The sequence below is a fragment of the Homo sapiens genome, chromosome X (genome assembly GCF_000001405.40).
Source record: "Homo sapiens chromosome X, GRCh38.p14 Primary Assembly".
NCBI classification, from domain to species: Eukaryota; Metazoa; Chordata; class Mammalia; order Primates; family Hominidae; genus Homo; species Homo sapiens.
Window position 1 is genome coordinate 102,967,781 of NC_000023.11, and position 9,611 is coordinate 102,977,391.

A 9,611-nucleotide genomic window follows, 5' to 3' on the forward strand; every position below is an offset into this window, starting at 1 on the left:
CAGCCTTTTCCTATTTTCAATGACCTTGACAGTTTCAAGGATTATTGGTTGGCTATTTTATAGAATGTCCCTCAACTGGGATTTGTCCATCTCAAATTTTTAAAAAATGTTTACATGCGATAATTGAATATACTTATGTAATTTGTAAAGATCAAATCAGTGTACTTGAAATATCACCTTAAATATTTGTCTTTTCTTTATGCCAGAAACAAATTATTCTAGCTATTTTAAATATATAATCCATTATTGTAAACTATCGTCATCAATGGGTACAAATACAAAGTTCAATAGAAGAAAAAGATCTAGTGTTTGATAGATCAGTAGTGTAAATATTGCTTATAATAATCTATTGTCTCAAAATCCTTAATTTTGAACAAGGGGCCCTGCACTTTAATTTTATACTGGACCCTGAAAATTATGTAGCTGGTCTTGCTTTTGCTTCATGGGGCAGAGGAAAGGCAAGCTGAGCTTGGACTAGCACTTGCAGCAGGCTCTGGCCAGTATGCCTTGGTACTGCCTGCAGGACCTCACTGCTCCGAAGCGGGGGTGCTGGGAGCTATACCCAGGGGCAAGAGGAAACCATAAACATGGAAGAGGACTCAGGGAGGATTCCAGGCAGAGGGAACAGTGTAAGCAAAGGCCCCAAGTCAGGAATGTGATGATGTGGTCAGGAGGCTGCCAGGTCATAGCCCTTCTACTTAAACAGCATATCCAGATGCCAAAGGAAGAGGTGGCCAAGAAGGCATAAAGGAAACCCTCCCAGCAAGGCCTGTGCCTGCTATTTTAGAGATAATACTTGATTCTATAGGAAATGGGGAGTCATGGGTGCTGATTGAGCTGGAGCTAGGCCTCATTGGAGCTGTGATGTGGAAGTACCTTTTGAGTTGGATGTCAGGGCAGATTGAGGAGGCAAGTCAGTGAGGTGGCCACTGGATGGTCCTGGGACCATGAGACCCTGTCCTAGGGGTTCAGCGGGCAGAGCCTGGGGACTCTTAAGAGGGAGAAAGAGGTCTCCAGTTTTTCTGCCTCAGAGTGTGGGGACCTGGGAGTCATGGAGAGAAAGAAAGTTGGGGAACTGGGTTGGAGAAGGCAGGGGTTGCGGTGGGAGAAGGCAGGGGTTGCAATGGGAGAAATGGTGAAATGAGAAGGGATGGGTTGGGGAGAAGTTGGTAGATCTGAGTTTGGATGTGGTGAGTTAGAAGTCACTGTGAACTTCCCAGCATGCAGCTGTGAACACAGGACTGACTGATGCCTATAGAAGTGGTCACCATCTTAAAAAATAACAATGCTAACTAATGTATAAACAGCAACTACAGTGACACAGACACCATGCCGAGAGCTCTCCAGTAATGGATCCAAACCAAGATGAAATCTTTGAAATACCAGATAAAGAATTAAAAAGGTTGAGTATTAAGCTACTCAAGGAGATACCAGAGAAAGGTGAAAACCAACAAACAATTTTAAAAACAATTCAGGATATGCATGAAAAATTTTCTAAAGAGATATTTTAAAGAAAAACCATTCAGAACTTCTGGAAATAGAAAACACATTTAGGTAATTACAAAATGCAGTGGAAAGTTTTAGCAATAGACTAGGACAAGTAGGAGAAAGAATTTCAAAGCTCAGATGTAAGGATTTTGAATTAACTCAATCGGACAAAAAAGAAAAAATAATTAAAAGAAATGAACAAAATTTCTAAGAAATGTGGGATCATGTAAAATGGCCAAACCTAAAAATAATTGGTTTTCCTGAGAGGGAAAATGCATTTAAAAGTTTGGAAAATTTATTTGAGGGAATAACTGAGAAAAACTTCTCTGGTCTTGCTAGAGATTTAGATGTCCAAATACAAGAAGCTCAGAGAACTCCTGGGAGATTCATCACAAAAATGACTTTACTTAAGGCATATTGTCATCAAGCTATCTAAAGTCAATGTGAAGGAAAGAATTCTGAGTGCAGTGAGACTAAAGCACCAGGTAACCTATACAGGAAAACCTATCAGACTAACAGCAGACTTCTTACCAGAAACCTTACAAGCCAGAAGGGACTGAGGTCCTATCTTTAGCCTCCTTAAACAAATTAACTGTCAGCCAAGAATTCTATATCCAGTAAAACTAAGTTTTATAAATGAAGGAGAAATAAAGTCATTTTCAGACAAAGAAATGCTGAGGGAATTTGCCACTACCAGACCAGCCCTACAAGAAATACTAAAGGAATTCTAAATCCTGAAACAAGAGGTTGCTATGCACCAGAATAGAACATTTTGAAAGCATAATGCTTACAGGAAATACTATGAAGAAAATAAAGTATCAAGGTAACAATTAGCATGATGACTGGAACGGCACTTTACATCTTAATATTAACAGTGAATGTAAATTGCTGTTCCAGTCATCATGCTAATTGTTACCTTGATACTTTATTTTCTTCATAGTATTTCCTGTAAGCTTTATGCTTTCAAAATGTTCTATTCTGGTGCATAGCAACCTCTTATTTCAGGATTAATGCTCCACTTAAGAGACACAGATTGGCAGAATGGATAAAAAGAAAATCCACAAACCAAGTATCTGCTGTCTTCAAGAGACTCCCTAATATGTAAGAATACAAATTCGAGGTAAAGGCTGGAAAAAGATATTCCACTTAAATGGAAACCAAAAGTGAGCTAGAGCAGCTACTCTTATATTGGATAAAACAGATTTTAAAGCAACAACAGTTAAAAAAAAAAGACAAGGTCATTATATAATGACAAATGGATCAATCCAACAAGATATGAAGATATTATAATCCTAAGTTTACATGCACCTAACTCTGGAGATCCCAGATTCATGAAACATTTACTACTAAACCTAAGAAATGAGATAGACAGCAGCACAATACTGGGAGACTTCAACACTCCACTGACAGCACCAGACAGATCGAGACAGAAAGTCAAAGAAAAAATAAACTTAAACTACGCTGTAAAAAAAAAATGGACCTAACAGATGTTTATAGAACATTCTGTCCAAGAACTACAGACTATACATTCTTCTCATCAGCACATGGAACATTCTCCAAGATAGACCATATGATAGGCCACAAAACTAGTCTCAAACTGAGAAATACCAAAATCATATAAAGCATCTTCTCAGACCACAGTGGAATAAAACTAGAAATCAACTACAAAAGGAATCCTCAAAACTATACAAATACATGGAAATTAAACAATCTGCTCCTGAATGATTTTGGGGTTAACAATGAAATCAAGATGGAAATTTAAAAATCATTTTAAATGAATGAAAATAGTGACACAAGTTATGAAAACCTCTGGGATACAGAAGCAGTGCTAAGAAGAAAGTTTATAGCACTAAATAGCTACATCAAAAAGTCTGAAAAAAGTCACAAATTGACAACCTAACATCACAACTCAAGGACCTAGAGAAACAATAATAAACTAAATCCAAAGTTAGCAGAAGAAATAAGGATGAGAACAGAAATAAAATTGAAACAAAAATGACTCAAAAGATCAATGAAACAAAAAACAGGTTCTTTGAAAATATAAACAAACTTGATAGACCATGATATGGTTAGGCTTTGTGTCCCCACCCAAATCTCATTTTGAATTGTAATCCCCATAATCCCTATGTGTCAAGGGAGAGAAAAGGTGGAGGTAATCGAATCATGGGGGTGGTTTTCCCCATGCTGTTTTCGTGATAGTAAGTTCTCATGAGTTCTCAGGATGAGATCTGATGGTTTTTTATAAAGGCCCTTTCACTAGGTACTTCTCCTTCCTGCCACCTTGTGAGGAAGGTGCCTTGCTTCCCCTTCACCTTCTGCCATGATTGTAGGTTTCCTGAGGCCTCACTAGCCAAGCTGAACTGTGAGTTGATTAAACCTCTTTCCTTTATTATAAAATCATCCAGTCTTGGGCAGTTCTTTATAGCAGTATGAAAACTAATACAATGAACTGGTACCAGGAGTGGGGTACTGCCATAAAAATACCTGAAATGTGGAAGTGACTTTGGAACTGGGTAACAGGCAGATATTGCAACAGTTTTGGAGGGCTCAGAAGAAGACAAGAAGATATGGGAAAGTTTGGAACTTCCTAGAGACTTGTTGAATGGTTTTGAGCAAAATGCTGATAGTGATATGGACAATGAAGTCCAGGCTGAGATGGTCTCAGATGAAGAAGCAAAACTTATTGGGAACTGGAGCAAAGGTGCCTCTTACTATGCTTTAACAAAGAGACTGGTAGCATTTTGCACCTGCCCTAGAGATCTGTGGAACTTTGAACTTGAGAGAGATTATTTAGGGTATCTGGCAGAAAAAAAAAAACCAAAACTCTAAATGGCAAAGTTTTCAAGACGTGACTTGGGTGCGGTTGCTCTTAAAAGTATTCAGTTTTATGCATTCACTAAGAGATGGTTTGGAATTGGAATATGTTTAAAAGGGAACCAGAGCATAAAAGTTGGGAAAATTTGCAGCCTGACAATACAGCAGAAAGGAAAAGCCCATTTTCTGAGGAGAAATTCAAGCCTGCTGCAGAAATTTGCATAAGTAACAAGGAGTCAAATGTTAATCGCCAAGAAAATGGGGGAAATGTCTCCAGGGCATGTAAGAGATGTTCACGACAGTCCTTCCCATCACAGGCCAGGAGCCCAAAGAGGAACAAAATGATTTCATGGCCTGCTGCTCTGTGCAGCCTCGGGACTCTGTGCCCTGTGTCCCAGCCACTTCAGCTCCAGCCATGGCTAAAAGGGGCCAAGGTACAGCTCAGGCAGTGGCTTCAGAGGGTGCAAGCCCCAAGCCTTGGCGGCTTACACATGGTGTTGGGCCTGTGGGTGCACACAAGTCAAGAACGGAGGTTTGTGAACTTCTGCCAAGATTTCAGAGGATGCATGAAAATGGCTGGATGTCCAGGCAGAGGTGTGCTGCAGGGTCATGGAGAACATCTGCTAGGGCAGTGCAGAAGGAAAATGTGGGGTCAGAGCCCCCACAGGGAGTTCCAACTGGGGCACTTCCTAGTGGAGCTGCAAGATGAGGGGCATCGTCCTCCAGACCCCAGAATGGTAGATCCACTGACAGCTTGCATTGTGCACCTGGAAAAGCTGCAGATACTCAATGCCAGCCTGTGAAAGCAGCCAGGATGGGGGGCTGTAGCCTGCAAAGCCACAGGGGCAGAGCTGCCCAAGGCCATGAGAGCCCACCTCTTGCATCAGCATGACCTGGATGTAAGACTTGGAGTCAAAGGAGATCATTGTGGTGCTTTAAGATTTGACTGCCCTGTTAGACTTTTGGACTTGCATGGGGCCTGTAGCCCCTTCGTTTTGGCCAATTACTGCCATTTGGAACAGGTGCATTGACCCAATGCCTGTACCTCATTGTATCTAGGAAGTAACTAATTTGCTTTTGATTTTACAGACTCACAGGTGGAAGGGACTTGCCTTGTCTCAGATGAGACTTTGGACTGTAGACCTTTGGGTTAATGCTGAAATAAGACTTTGGGGACTGTTGGGAAGGCATGATTTTGAAATGTGAGGACATGAGATTTGGGAGGGACCAGGGGTGGAATGATATGGTTTGGCTGTGTCCCCACCCAAATCTCATCTTGAATTGTAGCTCCCATAATCCCCATGTGTCATGGGAGGGACCTGGTGAGAGGTAATCGAATCATGGGGATGGGTCTTTCCTGTGCTGTTCCTGTGGTAGTGAATAAGTCTTACGAGATCTGATGGTTTTATGAAGGGGAGTTCCCCTACATAAGCTCTCTTGCCTGCCTCCATGCAAGATGTCCTTTTGCTCTTCCTTCATCTTCCACCATGATTGTGAGGCCTCTCCAGGCATGTGGAACTGTGAGTCCATTAAACTTCTTTCCTTTATAAATTACACAGTCTCAGGTATGTCTCTATTAGCAGCATGAGAACGAACTAATATGCCACATAATCTAAATAGACGTAGAAAAGCTTGATGATCAGATGCCCAACATCCCCTCCCAGCCAACAGGCAGACACTCAACATCCCCTCATGATAAGGACCCTCAGCAAGCTAGGCAAAGCAACATACCTCTAAGAGCGATCTATGACAAACCCATAGCCAATATCATACTGGACAGGCAAAAGCTAGAACTATTACCCTTGAGAACAGGCACAAGACAAGGATGCCCACTTTCACCACTGCTATTCATCCTAGTACTAGACGTCCTCACCAGAGCAGTCAGGCAAGAGAAAGAAATAAAGGCATCCAAAAAGGAAATGTCAAACTGTCTATCATCCCTGAGAATATGATTCTATACTGAGAAAACCCTAGAGACTCTACCAAAAGCCTCCTGGAACTGATAAAATTGTTTCAGGATCAAGAAAAGAAAAAGAAAAAAAGACCAATGTACAAAATTTAGTAGCATTTCCATATATCGATAACATTCTGAGAGCCAAATCAAAAACACAATTCTATTTACAGTAGCCACAAAAGAAAATAAAGTACCTAGGAATATGCCTACACAAGGAGGTGAAAGCTCTACAAGGAGAACTACAAAACATTGCCTAAAGAAATCATAGATGACACTAGTGGAAAGATATCCCATGCTCATGGATCAGAAGAACCAACATCATTTTTAAAATGGCCATATTGCCAAAAGCAATCTACAAGAACAATACAATTCCTATCAAACTACTGTCATTCTTCACAGACTTAGGAAAAATTTTAAGTTCATATGGAACTAAAAAAAAGAGCCCAAACAGCCAAAGCAATCCTAAGCAAAAGGAACAAAGCCAGAGGCACCATACTACCTGACTTCAAACTGTAAGGCTACAATAACCAAAGTAGCATGGTACTAGTAGATAGACACATAAGCCAATGGAACAGAATAGAGAGCCCAGAAATAAAGCTACACACCTATACCCATTTGATCTTTGACAAAGTCAACAATAACAAACAATGGGGGAAGGTGCCCCCTATTCAATAAGTGGTTCTGAGATAACTGATTATCCATATGAAGAATGAAACTGGACCCCTACATTTTAGCATACTCCAAAATTAAGTCAAGATGGGTTAAATACTTAGATGTAAGACCTCAAACTATAAAAATCCTAAAAGAAATTCTAGGAAATGGCCTTGGCAAAGAATTTGACTGTATCCCTAAAACAAGTGAAACAAAAAACAAATTGACAAGTGGGACGTAGTTAAACTAGAGGGCTTCTGCACAGAAGAATCTAGAGTAAACAAACCACCTACAGAATGGGAGAAAATTGTTGCAAACTATTCATCTGACAAAACTCTAGTATCCAGAATCTATACAGAACTTAAAACAATTCAAGAAGAAACAATCCTGTCATAAAAATGGGCAGAGGACATGGACATTTCTTAGTAGAACCCACACACGCAGCCAACAAATAAAAAATACTTATCATTAATCAAAGAAATGCAATTCAACCACAATGAGATACCATCTCACAATAGTCAGAATGACTATTATCCCCAGAGCCAAAAAACAGATGCTGATGAGACTGTAGAGAAAAGGAATGCTTATACACATTGGTGGGAATGTAAATTAGTTCAGTCACTGTGGAAAGCAATTTGGAAATTCAGCTAAAAACAGAGCTGCCATTGGACCCTACCAAAAAGACATCGGAACATGCATGTTCATTGCAGCACCATTCACAATATCAAGCACAAGGACTCAATCTCGATGCCCACCAACTGTGGGCTAAGGAAAATGTGGTACATATACACCATGGAATACTGCACAGCCACAAAAGAGCAAAATCATGTCCTTTGCAGCAAATGGAGTTGGAGGCCATTATCCTAAGCAAATTATTGCAAGAACAGAACAACTAAATACTGCATATTTCCACTCATAAGTGGGAGCTCAACATCGGTTACTCGTGGACAAAGATGGCAACAGTAGACACCAGGAACTACTAGAATGGGGGATGGTGAAAAACTATCCATGGAGTACTATGTTCACTACCTGGGTGAGGGGACCATTCATATACCAAACCTCAGCAACACATAATTTATCCATGTAACAAACCTACACATGTACCCCAGAACCTAAAATAAGCTGGGAAAAAAAGCCATTGAGAAAGTAAAGTGGCCTAGTGCAGTCTTAGGAATGTGAAAGGTGCAAAAAATTATCAGGCTCAGAGGCATGAGACTTGACACATCCCTTGTACCTATGCCCAGGGGTAATTTAAAGGCACTGTTTTAGCCTTCCCTGTCTTCAGACTAGCTGATAAATTATCTGAAGTGTTCTCGCAAGTTGTACAATCTGACCTTCATCCATTATCCTCATGTTCCTGGATTTTTTAAATACAAAGAACAATGTATAGTCAATCGGTAACTGATGTTATTTTACTGAATCAATGTAAATTTCTGGTAAACAACTTAGGAACTGCTCCCTTTTACTTTAAAGAGCTACTTGTAATTGCTTCCAATTGGAGTATATATTCAGGGCAACATGAATCCAAGACTCCTAGACTGCAGTCCTCAACCTTAGCCCAATGAATTATATTAATTTTGCCCCAGTTTCTTCCTTTAGGTTGATAGTATAAAAGAGAAGCATGGATTTAGGAGTTTCAAAGTGGACTTTCTAGTTCATTTTCTTGGGTACTTTTAGAATTAAGTAATTCACACGTAAAGCTGTTATAACTTTTCAGCCTTGAGAGGAGTGTGGCTATATGGCCTGAGTCACACAGCATACAGCTGCCAACTTCTGCTTTTTTGTATAAGTGATTAGGAAAGATAAAATGATGTCAAAAATGAGAAACCTCCAGACCTTCCTTAGGTAATGTTAAAGCAATCTTCCTTGGAATGTAGCAAGCTATAACCAATCAGATGGCTATAATGCATATACTGACCTTTCATGGAAAGTGTTGTAACCCTTCTTAAATGTCTTTGCCTGTGTAAGTGAAAACCTAATTTCTCCCTTTGGAGCACTGACCCCTTTCCTACATGGTCTGTTTTCGAGGTGGCCATCCTCAAGCTGTGTAAACTCTATGCTTACTGTTTTCTGAATCTCACTATTTAAAGTTGACATACTCAGCTGCTATTCACTAGGACCACCAAACCCAGCACAGTCAAAATTATAGTCTAGCACTTCTATGAAGTCTTAACTGATTAGATCTAGTCCTAGCTCTAAAGATGCTGATCACAATTGCTAGCTTCATCCACCAGGAACAAGCCTAGAGAGATTAAGACAACAGACTGGAGAAAGACAAGCAGCTCCAGGCTGTTTTGACCTAGTGTTAGGGTGGTGGCTCTGTTCTGGGGCAGGAGGCAGCCTGGCTCAGCTGTGGATGATATGTTAAAGACAAAAGTAGGTTGAGTTCTGCTCCTGCTTCTCCCCTATTATGTTGAGACAGGGTTGGTCTCATACCTACAGGTATTTACACCTCTGGGCCAGGTGTCATCAAGAATAAAATCAGGTCCAAGCAAAAAGCCCTAAGTCAGCTAAGTAAAAACTGGGAGAATTGCTTAGTAATCTCTCGTGTCAAGAAAACCTCCCACCTCTGCCAATTTCCCCAGGGCTATTAAATTACAGCCTAAAACTCGCTTTCTATTGCACCCTCTGCCGTGTAAGCAGAGAGGCCTTGCCCTTTGAAGTCAGTTTGTGGGCAGGAGAGTGATTAGCCATCTTCCTGGCA